This window comes from Homo sapiens, chromosome 1 (genome assembly GCF_000001405.40).
Source record: "Homo sapiens chromosome 1, GRCh38.p14 Primary Assembly".
Classification (NCBI taxonomy): domain Eukaryota; kingdom Metazoa; phylum Chordata; class Mammalia; order Primates; family Hominidae; genus Homo; species Homo sapiens.
The window spans coordinates 147821599-147838136 of NC_000001.11; the positions used below are offsets into that span (position 1 = coordinate 147821599).

Consider the following 16538-nt stretch of genomic DNA (forward strand, 5'->3'; position numbering starts at 1 on the left):
ACTCTCCCCTAAACTACATTGCTGACAAGGAGCTGCCTCTTCTAGGTACAACAAGAAAGGATTTTGATTTCCTAACTCTCCCATAACCAAATTTTCCAAAACCAAAGACTGGAATGCATGGCCTCACCATACGGATGGGTTTTTTTCTTTTCAGATATGTTAATTTATTTATGTGACAAGTCCTTCAAAGGCAAAATAATTAAGATACATTCAGTTATGTATGTAAAGAACTATCTTTTTAAAGAATGAAATTACATCAAAAGAAAGAAAACTCAGCAAAAAGTCCTGGATAATTTGACATTGGGACTGTTGGAAACAGCATAGTCATCACAGACACCTTCTTCATTCGCTGATCACTAAGGGTTTTTAGAGTTGTTGCCAACAATGTTAAGTCCCATTCGGTCATGGGCTGACCTTTCTTTGCCAAGTAGCCTGGAACATTTTAGTCCTTTGTTGCATGTGTTGCCATTTCCTCAGACCCACAGATCTTATGACACACACTCTGGGTGTTGCTGAGCTGAGATGCCTGGAAAGTGGTCAGTATGTCCAAGTGATGTGAATGGAGGGAGAATCCTCCAAAAATAGAAACATAAACAGATGCAAGGTTGAGAAATAAGTCAAATTGCCATATCATTATTTTGTTTGGGGTAGTTTAATGCTGTGGCTCATTTTTATCTCATTTCTTACATCCTTTAGCCAAAGCAGAAAGACTGGTTATCCCCATTCCCCTCTGCCCTACCTTCCTACCATCTCAGAGACAGGCTGCTTGAGGGCAAGGACTGTGCCTTCCAATAAACAATTCAACTAGCAGATGTTCATTGAGTGAGTCACAGTTAATTACTTAATAAATCTGACATTGAAGTCCAGACTGTGTGACCTGAACAATTGTTTCCCTTTAGTTAACACCATTCTTCATAGAGCTAATAAATCCACTGAGAATTCTCTAGAGCTTCCCCTTCTTCCACAAATGGAATGGCTCCAGCTTGACCAGGCTAAGAAGCACAGTGACACCCATCTTAGCTGGCTTAATTCTCAAATTCTCAATTGCTGGATAAGTCTTATCTATAGCCACGGCCAGCCCTTGACAAACTGTAAGTCTAGCAAAATTGCGTGTCTCAAACACATGTGTGTTTTTTTTTTTTTTCCTCCTACATCTCCTCCCCATCACTGGCTTCCCTCTTCCCCTACTTCCATTTTCATCACTGCAGGGCCCAAGCTCTTACCTGTCTTTATCAGAATTAACTCTTAGGGGGATAAGAATGGTATGGAAAATATACATCAGTTAGCATCAGTTAAAGAGGCCAGTCAATTCCTGCCTCTGAATACTATATTCCAGCCCTTCAATTAACCATTTCCCTCTTTTTAGCCCTGCTCCATTTCTCAGATCCATCCTGAGAGGCTGAAAGTATGTTTGCACAAGCACGAGCTTTGGAGTCTAGCTATGTGACGTTGAACAAGTCATATCATCTTGCAGTAAAATGGGAACAATAAATACCTACCTCTTGGGGTTATTGTGAGGAGTGAGATAATATGTATAAAGAGCTTAGTACCAGACCTGAAACATAGTAAGTACTCAATAAATGGTTGCTGTTATTATTACACTTCCCACCCCAATCTGGTACTTAATTTTGATCACTCTCTCCATATACCTGCATGTCTTTGAGGTCAGGATCTTAACTAATCTATCTTTGACCCCCTGTACAGTGCCCCATGTCTAGCAAAAGGTAGATGCTTAGTAAATGCTGAGTGAAGGAACAGGACCAACACTGCCTTAGATAGAGTGGGGCTGACTCCTGGGCTCCTGAATTGTTCCCTGAGTTGTAGCTCCTCTTGAATTGGGCTTCTGATTAAGCTTTATTCTAGTTTCCCAGTTCTCCAGAGAGGACTAAACATTTTCTGCACCTGGGACACTGGATTCCTGTCCCTGAGTCACATTTCAGGCTGGGGCTAAAGCCCAGGAATAATCCCAGGCATCGATTCTCTGCCCCAGGTTCTACATGGTCCAACTGCTGAGGAATAGCTTGAAGTTCAATACTCTTCATCTCCATCAGCGCTTCTCCCACCTATGTGGACAACTGCCATTTTCTAAACCTTACATAAAACATGAATAGAAGTTTTTTGTTGTTGTTTTGTTTTTTGACATGGAGTCTTGCTCTGTCACCCAGGCTGGAGTGCAGTGGTACAATCTCAGCTCTCTGCAACCTCTGCCCACCGGGTTCAAGCGATTCTCCTGCCTCAGTCTCCCTCTAGGACTACAGGTGTGCACCACCATACCCGGCTAATTTTTATATTTTTTAGTAGAGACAAGGTTTCACTATGTTGGCCAGGCTGGTCTCGAACTCCTGACCTCAGGTGATCCACCTGCCTCGGCCTCCCAGAGTGATGGGATTACCAGGCATGAGCCACCACGCCTGGCCTAAAAGTTTATTTTTAAAGTACTGCTTTGTTGATTGATCTATGCTGTACAATCTAAGTAAAAACAGAGTGCTTGCTATGCAAAAGCAGCTTCAAGACAAGAATCCTAACACCCACTCTGTCTTTGTCTTTTTGGGCTGCTATAACAAAATGCCATTGATTGCATGGCTTATACACAATAAAAATTTATTTCTTACAGTTCTGGAGGCTGAGGTCCAACATCAAGGCACCAGCAGAGTCAGTGTCTAGTGAGAGCTTCTTTCTGTTTCCTTCTAACTGTATTCTCACATGGCAGGCAGTCCAAGGCAACTCTCTAGGGCCTCTTTCATAAGAATATTAATGCAATTCATGAGGGCTCCATCTTCATGACCTAATCACCTCCCAAAGCCCCAACTCCTCATACCGGCACATTGGTGATTAGATTTCAACATGAGTTTAGGGAGTATATAAACATTCAGACCACAGCACCCGCCAATCTGATTCTTGTCCCTAAGTGCTACCCCAGTATGGAAATTCTAGAGCCACCACTAACCCTGTCCCCTGGTCACTGATAGATGACTTCTGCTAAACTTGGAAACTTGGGCTAAACTTGGGCTGGGGCAGCTGCCCAAGCACTGCCCTGCTCTAAGGCTGGAAAGATGGAGGGGATGTTCTTTTTTTTCATCCACCCATGGGAAAACCACCCTAGCCTTGGATCTTGCTTCCCTAGACCTGCTATTGAACCCTGGTCACTCTCATCTTCCCAGGCCTTGTCCAGTGTATAAAGGAGTGAGTGAAAACAACTGTGAAGGGTCTCCCAGCCTGATTGATGTATTCCTATACCAATGGCCCCTTCCAGGTAGTGGATTTAACTCAGCCAGAAATGGCCTTCTCAAAGCCAAAAAAGCCTCTTCCAGGCAGATGGAGGTCTACCTCAGCGTGACATCTGACACTCCCTTTCCTGCAGTGCAGCTCTCATTGCCTGAAACGCCCTCCCTGAGTCAGTCACCCTGCATCACTTGCCTCAGCACTCAGGGCTCTGCACACGTGCTGTAGGCATTTCATCTATTTTAATAATAAAACAAAAATGACCTCAGCATAGGGACAACAGCAACCAGTCAATGGCTGCAAAATCATTCCTACAATTTCATATTAACATTCTGTCATCAGTGACGGGAATGATGAAGACATTCATTAAAAAAAAAAAAAAAAAGGACAGACTTAGCCCTGGGAAGATGGATAATTATCTCTGCTAATTACTATTGCCCAGCCCAGAAGGCCTTGCCCCCACCTGCATGCCCATCAATTAAAGTCTTACTCATCCTTGAAGGCCCAACTCAAATGCCACTTTCTCCAAGAAGCCTTTCCTAGTCCTCCAGTTAGAATTAATTGTCCCCTGCTCAATGTTCCTGTGATGTTTATTGTATAATATTCCCATGTCATTATATTAAAATGTTATCTATTTATTACATAATATATATTATGCAGTATTCCTATATCATTATTATAAAAATGGTACCATAAAGGTATATGGAAGATGATTAGCACTCTGAGCAGCCTATAACTCAGCCTCAATAAAAAAGAACTATTTTAAGATTATGAATAACTTCATATCTGCCCCACAGGTCAGGCTCTAAAGGTACATAGTTAGAAAGAAACTAACTTCTTTGACATTGTGAATCACAAAATCTAGCTGTTCTAAAAACAAACCTGAAAGAAAATGTAGGTATGAGCCATACCCCACGTTCCTTCATCTGCTGGGATAAACACTTCACTTTGTCCAAAAGATGTCAAGTCTCAGAATGAAACAGGCCCTACTAACCTAACCAGCACATCACACCACATAAGACACACAAAATCCCCTTTCCATCATTCCAGCTATGCTCAAACTCACTTCCACCTGAGGCTACTCACTAAACTTTTAAGCAACTATAGCAACAAGCATCATAAAAATAGCTATCCCATATTGAGTCTCTACAAGTAGTAGACCATATGCTAGATTATTTAATATCTCAGTTAATCCTCATGAAAACAAAAGGGTCAGTTTCTCAGAGTCACAGCTCCTAAGTAGCATATTGGAGATTCAAATAAAGATCTAGCTCCAAAGCCTATGCTCTTACCATTAGGTATTCCTGCTTCCTTAGTCACCGGAAAAGTTTCCTAAATTTTGTAATTTAGGTGGAAGCTGCAAATTTCACCCATGGTTGTGAGTTTTCCTCTTGGAGACCATCAAAACATATCTAATTCCCCTTCTACTTTACCAGCCTGCAAATAATTAAAAAGAGGTGGTGTGACTCCAAGACCTCTTATCTCTGGGCTAGACATCCTTCAGCTGTTGTCCCTCTTATAAAATGGCTTCAGATCACATCATGGTCTGGCCCCCATCTCTTTTTTTATTATTGTTATTTTTCCATAAATTATTTTTAATTTATGGAATTACAATTCTATAATTTATAATATTCCATAAATTATAATTCCAAATTTAATTTATGGAATTTTAATTCTTAAAAAATAAATTATATTTATTTTTCCATAAATTATTGGGGTACAGGTGGTATTTGGTTACATGAGTAAGTTCTTTAGTGGTGATTTGGTGCACCCATCACCCAAGCAGCATACACTGCACCTTATTTGTAGTCTTATCCCTCACCCTCTTCCCACGCTTCCCCCAAGTCCCCAAAGTCCATTGTATCATTCTTATGCCTTTGCATCCTCATAGCTTAGCTTCTACATATCAGTGAGAACATATGATGTTCGGTTTTCCATTCCTGAGTTACTTCTATTAGAATAATAATCTCCGATCTCATCCAGGTCGCTGCAAATGCTAATTCATTCCTTTTTATGGCTGAGTAGTATTCCATCGTATAAATATACCATGGTTTATTCATCCACTCATTCATTGATGGGCATTTGGGTTGCTTCCACGATTTTGCAGTTGTGAATTGTGCTGCTATAAACATGTGTGTGCAAATATCTTTTTCATATCATGACTTCTTAACCTCTGGGTAGATACTCAGTAGTGGGATTGCTGGATCAAATGGTAGTTCTACTTTTAGTTTTTTAAGGAACCTCCACACTGTTTTCCATCACACTGTTTTCCATGGCGGCTGTACTAGTTTACATTCCCACCAGCAGCGTAGAAGAGTTCCCTGATCACCGCATCCATGCTAACATCTACTGTTTTATTATTTTTTTATTATGGTCATTCTTGCAGGAGTAAGGTGGGATCGCATTGTGGTTTTAATTTGTATTTCCCTGATCATTAGTGATGTTGAGCATTTCTTCATATGTCTGTTGGCCATTTGTATATCTTCATTTGAGAATTGTCTATTCATGTCCTTAGCCCACTTTTTGATGGGATTGTTTGTTTTTTTTTCTCGCTGATTTGTTTTTGTTGTATATTCTGGATATTAGTCCTTTGTCAGATTTATAGATTATGAAGATTTTCTCCTACTCTGTGGGTTGTCCGTTTACTCTGCTGACTGTTCCTTTTGCCATGCAAAAGCTCTTTAGTTTAATTAGGTCCCCACTATTTAAATTTGTTTTTGTTGCATTTGCTTTTGAGTTCTTGGTCATGAAATCCTTGCTTAAGCCAGTGTCTAGAAGGGTTTTTCCAATGTTATCTTCTAGAATTTTTATAGTTTCAGGTCTTTGATTTAAGTCCTTAATCCACCTTGAGTTGATATTTGTATGGGGTGAGAGATGAGGATCCAGTTTCATTCTCCTACATGTGGCTAGCCAATTATCCCAGCACCATTTGGTGAAAACGGTGTCCTTTCCTTAACTTTATGCTTTAAGATCAGTTGGATGTAAGTATTTGGGTTTATTTCTGGGTTCTCTATTCTGTTCCACTGGTCTATGTGCCTATTTTTATACCACCACCACGCTGTTTTGGTGACTAGGTGACTATGGCCTTATAGTATAGTTTGAAATCAGGTAGTGTGATGCCTCCAGATTTGTTCTTTTTGCTTTGACCATGAGGGCTCTTTTTTGGCTCCATATGAATTTTAAAATTTTTTTTCTAATTCTGAAAAGAATGATGGTGGTATTTTATGGGGATTGCATTGAATTTGTAGATTGCTTTTGGCAGTATGGTCATTTTCACAATATTGATTCTACCCATCCATGAACAGGGGATGTGTTTCCATTTGTTTGTGTCGTTTATGATTTCTTTCAACAGTGTTTTGTAGTTTTCCTTGTAGAGGGTTTTTGACCCCTTGGTTGGGTATATTCCTAAGGTGTTTGTTTGTTTGTTTGTTTGTTTTGCAGCTATTGTAAAAGGGGTTGAGTTCTTTATTTGATTCTCTGCTGGGTCACTGTTAGTGTATAGAAGAGCTACTGATTTGTGTACATTAATCTTGTATCCAGAAACTTTGCTGAATTCTTTTATCAGTTCAGGAGCTTTCTGGAGGAGTCTTTAGGATTTTCAAGGTAAACTATCATATCATCAGAAAACAATAAACGTTTGACTTCCTCTTTACCTATTTGGATGCCCTTTGTTTCTTTTTCTTGTCTGATCGCTCTGGCTAGGACTTCCAGTACTATGTTGAAGAGGAGTGATGACAGTGGGCATCCTTGTATTGTTCCCATTCTAAGAAGAAATGCTTTCAACTTTTCCCCATTCAGTATGATGTTGGCTGTGGGTTTGTCATAGATGGCTTTTATTACATTAAGGTATGTCCCTTGTTTTCCAATTTTGCTTAGGGTTTTAATCATACAGGGATGCTGGATTTTGTCAAATGCTTTTTCTGCATCTATTGAGATGATCATATGATTTTGTTTTTTAATTCTGTTTATGTGGTGTATCACATTTATTGACTTGCATATGTTAAACCATCCCTGCATCCCTGGTATAAAACCCACTTGATCATGGTGGATTATCTTTTGATATATTGTTGGATTTGGTTAGCTAGTATTTTGTTAAGAATTTTAGCATCAGTCGGGCGTGGTGGCTCATGCCTGTAATCCCAGCACTTTGGGAGGCTGAGGTGGGCAGATCATGAGGTCAGCAGATCAAGACCATCCTGGTTAACACGGTGAAACCCTGTCTCTACAAAAAATACAAAAAATTAGCCGGGCTTGGCGAGCGCTTGTAGTCCCAGCTACTCAGGAGGCAGAGGCAGGAGAATGGCGTGAACCCGGGAGGCAGAGCTTGCAATGAGCCGAGACCGCACCACTGCACTCCATCCAGCCTGGGCGACAGAGTGAGACTCCGTTTCAAAAAAAAAAAAAAAAAGAATTTTAGCATCTATGTTCCTCAGGGATATCAGTCTGTAGTTTTCTTTTTTGGTTATGTCCTTTCCTGGTTTTGGTATTAGGGTGATGCTGGCTTCACAAAATGAATTCGGGAGGGTTCCTTCTTTCTCTATCTTGTGGAATAGTGTCAAAAGGATTGGTACCAATTCTTCTTTGAATGTCTGGTATAATTCTGCTGTGAATCCAGCTAGTCCTGGACTTTTTTTGCTTGGTAATTTTTTAATTACCATTTCAATCTTGCTGCTTATTATTGGTCTGTTCAGGGTATCTAATTCTTCCTGATTTAAGCTAGGAAGGTTGCATTTTTCCAGGAATTTATCCATCTCTTCTAGGTTTTCTAGTTTATGTGCATAAAGGTGTTCATAGTAGCCTTGAATAATCTTTTGTATTTCAGTTGTAATATCTCCTGTTTTGTTTCTCAGTGAGGTTATTTGGATTTTCTCTCTTCTTTTCTTGGTTAGTCTTGCTAATGGTCTATCAATTTTATCTATCTTTTCAAAGAACTAGCTTTTTGTTTCATTTATTTTTTGTATTGTTTTTGTTGTTCTTTCAATTTCATGTAGTTCTACTCTGATCTTGGTTGTTTCCTTTCTTCTCCTGGGTTTGGGTTTGGTTTGTTCTTGTTTCTGTAGTTCCTTAAAGTGTGACTTTAGAATGTCAGTTTGTGCTCTTTCAGTCTTTTTTTTTTTTTTACTATAGAATGCCAGTTTGTGCTCTTTCAGTCTTATTATTATTATTTTTTTTTGAAATGGAGTCTCACTCTGTCGCCCAGGCTGGAGTATAGTGGTGCAATCTCAGCTCACTGCAAGCTCCGCCTCCTGGGTTCACGCCATTCTCCTGCCTCAGCCTCCCAAGTAGCTGGGACTACAGGGGCCCACCACCACACCCGGCTAATTTTTTTGTATTTTTAGTAGAGACGGGGTTTCACTGTGTTAGCCAGGATGGTCTTGATCTCCTGACCTTGTGATCCACCCACCTCGGCCTCCCAAAGTGCTGGGATTACAGGCATGAGACATTGTGCCTAGCCTCTTTCAGTCTTTTTGATGTAAGCGTTTAGGGCTATGAACTTTCCTCTTAGCACTACCTTTGCTGTATCCCAGAGGTTTTGATAGATTGTGTCATTATTGTTATTTAGTTCAAAGAATTTTTTAATTTCCATCTTGATTTTGTTTTTGATCCAATGCTCATTCAGGAGCAGATTATTTAATTTCCATGTATTTGCATGGTTTTGAAGGTTCCTTTTGGAGTTGATTTCCAGTCTTACTCCACTGTGGTCTGAGAGAGTGTTTGATATAATTTCAATTTTCTTAAATTTATTGAGGCTCATTTTATGGCCTATCAGATTGCCTATCTTGGAGAAAGTTTCATGTGCTGTTGAATAGAATGTGTATTCTGCTGTTGTTGGATGAAATGTTCTGTATATAGCTATTAAGTCCATTTGTTCCAAGGTATAGTTTAAGTCCATTGTTTCTTTGGTGACTTTCTGTCTTGACGACCTGTCTAGTGCTGTCAGTGGAGTATTGAAGTCCCCCACTGTTATTGTGTTGCTGTCTATCTCATCTCTTAGGCCTATTAACAACTGTTTTATAAATTTGGGAGCTCCAGCGTTAGGTGCATATATGTTTAGGATTGAGATATTCTCCTGTTGGACAAAGCATTTTACCATTATATAATGTCCCTCTTTGTCTCTTTTAACTGCTGTTACTTTAAAGTTTGTTTTGTCTAATATAAGAATAGCTACCCCTGCTCACTTTTGGTGTCCATTTGCAAGAGATGCCTTTTTCCACCCCTTTGCTTTAAGTTTATGTGAGTCCTTATGTATTAGGTGAGTCTCCTAAAGGCAGCAGATAGTTCATTGGTGAGTTCTTATCCATTCTGCGGTTCTGTATCTTTCAAGTGAAGCATTTAGGCCATTTACATTCAATGTTAGTATTGAGATGTGAGGCACCATTCCATTCATCATGCTATTTGTTGCCTGTGTACTTTGTTTTGTTTTTTGTTTTTACTTTTTAACTTGTATTTTTGTCTTATAGGTCCTGTGTGGTTTATGCTTTATAGAGTTTCTGTTTTGACGTGTCTCCAGGATTTATTTGTTTCAAGATTTACAGCTCCTTTTAGCAGTTCTTTTTTTTTTTCTTTTGAGACGGAGTCTCACTCTTGCCCAGGCTGGAGTGCAGGAGCACGATCTTAGCTCACTGCATGCTCCGCCTCCCAGGTTCACGCCATTCTCCTGCCTCAGCCTCCTGAGTAGCTGGGACTACAGGCACCCACCACCAAGCTGGCTAAGTTTTTGTATTTTTAGTAGAGACGGGGTTTCACCATGTTAGCCAGGATGGTCTCAATTTCCTGACCTCGTGATCTGCCTGCCTCAGCCTCCCAAAGTGCTGGGATTACAGGCGTGAGCCACCGCGCCCGGGCAGCTGCTCTTATAATGGTGGCTTGGTAGTGGCGAATTCTCTCAGCATTTCTTTGTCTGAAAAAGACTGTATCTTTCCTTTATATATGATGCTTAGTTTCACTGGATACAAAATTCTTGGCTGATAATTGTTTTGTTTGAGGAGGCTGAAGATAAGGCCCCGATCCCTTCTAGCTTGTAGGGTTTCTGCTGAGAAATTTGCTGTTAATCTAATAGGTTTTCCTTTATAGGTTATCTGGTGCTTCCATGTCACAGCTTTTAAGATTCTTTTCTTCATCTTAACTTTGGATAACCTGACAAAAATGTGCCTAGGTGATGATCTTTTTGCAATGAACTTCCCAGGTGTACTTTGTGCTTCTTGTATTTGGATGTCTAGGTCTGTAGCAAGGCAGGGGAAGTTTTCCTCCATTATCCCCCCAAATATGTTTTCCAAACTTTTAGAATTCTCTTCTTTCTCAGGTACACCAATTATTCTTAGCTTTGGTCATTTAACATAATCCCAGACTTCTTGGAGGCTTTATTCATATTTTCTTACTCTTTTTTCTTTGTCTTCGTTGGATTGTGTTGATTTGAAGACCTTGTCTTCAAGCTCTGAATTTCTTTCTTCTACTTGTTCAATTCTATTGCTGAGACTTTCCAGAGCATTTTGCATTTCTATAAGTGTGTCCAATGTTTCCTCATGTTTTGATTGTTTTTTCTTTTTTTTCTTTTTTTTTTTTTTTCTGAGACAGAGTCTCGCTCTGTCACCCAGGCTGGAGTGCAGTGGCGCAATCTCGGCTCACTGCAAGCTCCGCCTCCTGGGTTCACGCCATTCTCCTGCCTCAGCCTCCCCAGTAGGTTGTTTTCTCTTTAAGCTATCTATTTTCTTGAATATTTCTCCCTTCACTTCTTGCATCGTTTTTTGGATTTCCTTGCATTGAACTTTGCCTTTCTCTGGTGACTCCCTGATTAGCTTAATAACTAACCTCCTGATTTCTTTTTCAGGGAAATCAGGGATTTCTTCTTGGTTTAGATCCATTGCCAGTGAACTAGTGTGATTTTTTGGGGGGTGTTAAAGAGCCTTGTTTTTTCATATTACCAGAGTTGGTTTTCTGGTTCCTTCTCATGTGGGTAGCTTCTGTCAGAGTGAAGGTCTAGGGCTGAAGGCTGTTGTTCAGATTCTTTTTGTCCCACGGCGTATTCCCTTGATGTAGTACTCTCCCCGTTTTCCTATGGATGTGGCTTCCTGTGAGCTGAACTGCAGTGATGGTTGTCTCTCTTCTGGGTCTAGCCACCCAGTAAGTCTATCCAGCTCTGGGCTGGTACTGGGGGTTGTCTGCACAGAGTTCTGTGATGTGAACCGTCAATGGGTCTCTCAACCGTGGATACCAGTGCCTGTTCCAGTGGAGGTGGCAATAGGAGGTGCAATGGACTCTGTGAGGGTTATTAGCTTTATGGTTTAATGCTCTATTATTGTGCTGGCTGGCCTTCTGCAGGGAGGTGGCACTTTCCAGAGAGCATCAACTGTGATAGTATGGAGAGGAACAAGCAATGGACAGGTCCCTTTAACATCCAAGATTATATGCCTTTGTCTCCTGCTACCAGGGTGGGTAGGGAAGGACCATCAGGTAGGGGCAGGGCTAGGTGTGTCTGAGCTCAGACTCTCCTTGGGCCAGTCTTGCTGCGGCCGCTGTGGGGGATGGGGGTGAGGCTCCCAGGTCAATGGAGTTGTGTACCTAGGAGGATTATGCCTCTGCTGACTCACGCAGGTTGTCAGGGAAGTGGGGAAAGCTGGCAGTCACAGGCCTCACCCAGATTCCCCACAAACTGAGGGGCCAGTCTCACTCCCACCATGCCCCCACTAACAGCACTGAGTCTGTTTCCAGCTAGTGGGTGAGCCAGGCTTGACAACTTGCCCCAGGCTACCCACCTCCCAGCTGCAAAAGAAAAGGGCTTGGTTCTTCCCCCACCTGTGGAGTCTGCACACCAGATTCCCACCCTCCCCTGAGTTCTGGCCAGGAGGCTTCTTGACCTATTCACACTGTTACAAAGTTCAGCTGGAGACCTCCTTCTCCCTGTGGAGAAGGAAATGTTGTATCTGGGATATCACTTCAGTCTGCTGAAATCTTTCTAAATCCTGATCTTGTCATCCAACATAGTCACTAACCCTCTCAGCAAATTTGATCAGTATATTCTGTGAATCCATCCATGTCATTAATAAAAACGTTGACTGGGACCCTGTGTCAGGCCTCTGAGCCCAAGCTAAGCCATCATATCCCCTGTGACCTGCACATACACATCCAGATGGCCAGTTCCTGCCTTAACTGATGACATTCCACCACAAAAGAAGTGAAAATGGCCTGTTCCTGCCTTAACTGATGACATTGTCTTGTGAAATTCCTTCTCCCGGCTCATCCTAGCTCAAAAGCTCCCCTACTGAGCACCTTGTGACCCCCACTCTGCCCGCCAGAGAACAACCCCCTTTGACTGTAATTTTCCTTTATCTACCCAAATCCTATAAAACGGCCCCACCCTTATCTCCCTTTGCTGACTCTCTTTTCAGACTCAGCCCGCTTGCACCCAGGTGATTAAAAGCTTTATTGCTCACACAAAGCCTGTTTAGTGGTCTCTTCACACGGACACACATGAAACCCTGCAGCAAATGACTACAGACCTCCTGTAAAGTTGACGCAGATTCATTAATCACCAGTCTTCACATGTGATTGTTCAACCAGTTACATATCTGCTTAACTGTTCTGAGCTCACAGGTCTATATCCTGCTGAAACTCACTAGCTCAGTAACCCCATCAACAAAGGAAATGGGTTTAGTCTGGCATAATTTGTTTCAAGTGAGTTCCTGTTATTTTATGAAGGTTCATCTGGCAGGATGGATCCTAAACCCACACTGCTTCTGCTGACGGTGTCTGTACCTAAGGTGGGAGTTGTGATAACATAATAAATAATCTATAATCACTTGCATAACCCTAAGAAGCCAGGATTACCAATTACCTACCCAATACAAAACAAAAAATGAATATATGCAAAAGACCAGCCTAAAGTAAGATGGCAAAATTTTTCTTTGGCTCTCTGACACGTTGCTCTCAGCCTTCCTCTATTGCACGGTATCCTCTCTTTCCTACCCCATATGAATCCTGTGACCTCATGAGACCCTCTGACTTCCCAAGGCTCCCCACCTTGGTATTTTATTTCATTCCTGCCCTCCCTTAAATGCTCCAAGCTCCAAAATGAACCCTTCCTGAACTCCTCCCTCCATTCTATTTTCTCAGAGAGATAAGACAAAAAACAACTGGACTGTAAGAATTCACACTAAAGTATGAATGATGAATTACCCTGCAAGAATGCAGGTATTTGTAAAATAGGAACATAGTCAACCCCAAATAAGCTCTACTTAGTGGAATTACAAGCCCTGTGATAAAATCTGGGTGGAAAATTGCAAACAGAATTTGACATATCTTTTGCTGGGGGGGCTTTTGTAGTAGTCAAGGTTCTTGGATATAAGTAACAGAAACCTTCCCTAATTATCTTAATCAGAAATGAGATTGGAAAAGGTATCAGGTATGTATACTCAGAACTGATGAGGAGGCTTGGAAGTCAGACAGAACCCAAGAAAGACTGGGCAGCCGAAACCTCATTTGGATCACACAACAAAAACATGCTGTCTAGAAAGCCATGGCAGGCTCCACTGCTAATGGACCTTGACTCGTACTGGACTCTAAATACTGAATCCCTAGGCACCTGAATCCCTCCTGCTTTAAACATTTTCAACCCTTCCTAAAATTCAAAGACCAGGCCCAAAGTGTCCATTGGTCAAGGCTGGGCTGCATAGCCACTCCTCAGTGCCAGGGAACAAGAGAAGAGTATTTTCCGTTCTTTAGCTTTCTTAATGGGAGAGTAGTCCTCCTCACTCTTCCTCCTTCTTTTAGGATTCAGAAGTAGATTATCCAAGAGCATGAGAAATGTCTAGTATAACTCCTAGAACTCCTTAAGTTTTACATATACTTTTAATTACAGTCTGATCCTGTATCTGCCCCTTCTACAGCCATTTGTTGGGGTTGGGGTGAGCTTGCCACCTTCAAGAGTCATTGTGGTAGACAACTGAGTACTGTATCTGTTTCTTGGTGGGCAGGCCTACACAAACCTGTCCCCAGAGTCTGAGGAAGCCTCTCAGCTGCTAAAGAAAGAGGCTAACAAATCCAGTTTCTTAGAAAGAACATTTATTTAATAGGAACTTAACAAACAGAAGCCATGTCTGTGTCTCAGGCAGTGGCACGACAAGATGGATGATCCTGCACCATTACCCCCCAGACTGGGTGTTTATATACTGTAGAAGAGGAGCACAAGTGCTTCAGAGAGAACAGGTAGGAATGTGCCATAAGGGCAGAATTTACAGTAAGTAGGAACTCACCCATAAGGAACAAACCAAAAATCTTAGAGGCCTTCCCAGAAGAGGGGTCAATCAGAAGCCAAATGGCGAGTTAGCATCTAAGATAGAATTGCTTTGGCCTCTATAGTATCACCCCACATGTATCCCAAGCTCAGCAGTCAGAATCTTGACAAACTTTTTTTAAAAAAACTGTTGGAATATTCCACACATACAGAAAAGTGCACAGATCATAAGTGCACTTTCATAAAGCAAAGTGAAATTTCACAAAGCAAACATATCTTCTGAAGAAATATTACCAGCACCCCAGGTGCCCCCGATCTGTGTCAGTTACTACCTTCCCAAGGTGACCACTACCCTGGCACCTGGCACAACTGATTTTTTTCTTTGCCTTCAAATTTTGAAAAATTGAATTGTATGGTATTTTCTCTTTTAGGGCTGGATTCTTTCACTCGACATTTTGTTTGTGACAGTCATCCATATTGTATGTGGTTGTATTTGACCAACCACTTTAGAAAGATTGCTGTTGCACTAGCCGGCTGTCCCAAGGGGGCCTGGGATTTACTGACAATCATATACTGAGGTCAGCTCAGAAACAAAACTCTAGACATTTGTTACATTCACAAGAAATCTGGGCAACCATGATTAGTTCTAGTGAACTTGAATATCACCCTTTTGTTATCCTGTGCTAAAACCAGGGAGATCTGAGTAATAATAGTAGTGATACAGATATAAGGAATCCCTTAGATTTACAAAAGTGTTTTACATGAGCTTAAAATGCTCTAACGAGTGTCCTCTTGGTTCCTAAAAATGCTTGCACCAGAAACAGAATTCAACTTCCCAATAATTAAAGGACTTCATATTTGGAGTTCAGGGAGTTCTGGCCTTGTGACAGACAAGAACTCACCATTCACCTGGACATGCCCAAGTGAGTCATCTCTGTGTCCAGCGCAGTGGTCTCTAAACACATAGGTCATTTGGGATAAACTGGTAGTGGAGAAATCATGGTAATGAGGGGAAAGTTACTGGTACAGCTAGAGATAATGAAACTGGTTTACAAAGAGGCTGCAGATGGAGACAAGGGAATGCATTAAGGGATGGGCAGGCAGGACGAGGAATGCTAGATGATCAGACTAATACATTTAAGCTCTTCCAAAAATGTGCTCCGGAAAAGCAATCTCCGTGGAGAAACAGGTTGAAGATTAAATTGCCCCTCCCTGGGGGCACCCGCAGTCATACGATAGTGCGCTTGTGGGGTAGAGTGATCTGGAGGTGAGAAGCCAGAGGGAGGGCTAGCAGGGCTCTATGAGGAGGCAGCATTCCTGGTTCTCAGCTGTTTGTTTTGTAAATGGAAGAAGAAAGTACTTTGCATTCCACAGGTGTCTGTGGATAAAGCCATCACTTTGCAAACCTCTGTTCTTAACTCAAACCAACAGGACAAAGAGTGGTTGCTGCATGTCTGCAAGCTGAGTAGTTTGAAGTTAGCGAGGAAGGCAGTGAGATGGCAGTAGTCAGAGGGGAGTCAGAAGTCTGGTGCTACTGGGGACCAAAGAAGCCATGAGGGGTCACACCTTGGCTCGGTGGGCTAGCCTTTCTCCATGCGAATGTATCTGTTTGTCTCTGCTTCTCATCTTCAACCCAGCCCCAGACTCAATGTCCTTTATGGCTCTAGATGGTGATAGAGAAGGTGAGGCAAACAGGAAAAGCAGAAGGAGAAGAAGCAGAGAGAAGAAAGTGTCTGAGTCAAGAAGTTGAAAGACGGCCAAGATGAGGGAGAGAAAGGATTGTGGGAAGAGAGCAGGGAGGGGCATCTTAGTCCTGTGTTGACACTTCCCCCAAAATCCATTAATTCCCCCACGGTGTGAGTGGCAGATGAGGTGAAACCATGAAAAGACATGGAGGGGTAAGCAGGGAGAGGCTGTAGTGGGCTGGGAGCTAAAGCCCTGCTTCACACTTCACTGCAGTGTTCACTCACATTTGCCTTGTCACTCACTCTTAGCCTATTGAGAATTTTTGAAAACGAAACTTGATATTCAAAGTTAAGCACTCTTCAAGTCAGGTCAAGAGTCTCAACAATTATGTGCATCTGCA

The 16538-nt window shown here is 41.8% G+C and overlaps 4 annotated features.

Annotated features, from left to right (window-relative positions):
* Nucleotides 11636–12245: an enhancer, noted in NCBI's record as "OCT4-NANOG-H3K27ac-H3K4me1 hESC enhancer chr1:147305372-147305981 (GRCh37/hg19 assembly coordinates)". NCBI's record gives its function as "activates a minimal SCP1, AML or CMV promoter by ChIP-STARR-seq in naive H9 embryonic stem cells {active_cell/tissue: H9 hESC(naive)}" and the evidence as "EXISTENCE:reporter gene assay evidence [ECO:0000049][PMID:30033119]".
* Nucleotides 11693–11987: an enhancer, noted in NCBI's record as "tiled region #879; HepG2 Activating non-DNase unmatched - State 24:Quies". NCBI's record gives its function as "activates a minimal TATA promoter and a strong SV40 promoter by Sharpr-MPRA in HepG2 cells {active_cell/tissue: HepG2}" and the evidence as "EXISTENCE:reporter gene assay evidence [ECO:0000049][PMID:27701403]".
* Nucleotides 12246–12859: an enhancer, noted in NCBI's record as "OCT4-NANOG-H3K27ac-H3K4me1 hESC enhancer chr1:147305982-147306592 (GRCh37/hg19 assembly coordinates)". NCBI's record gives its function as "activates a minimal SCP1, AML or CMV promoter by ChIP-STARR-seq in naive H9 embryonic stem cells {active_cell/tissue: H9 hESC(naive)}" and the evidence as "EXISTENCE:reporter gene assay evidence [ECO:0000049][PMID:30033119]".
* Nucleotides 15529–16125: an enhancer, noted in NCBI's record as "OCT4-NANOG-H3K27ac-H3K4me1 hESC enhancer chr1:147309262-147309858 (GRCh37/hg19 assembly coordinates)". NCBI's record gives its function as "activates a minimal SCP1, AML or CMV promoter by ChIP-STARR-seq in primed H9 embryonic stem cells {active_cell/tissue: H9 hESC(primed)}" and the evidence as "EXISTENCE:reporter gene assay evidence [ECO:0000049][PMID:30033119]".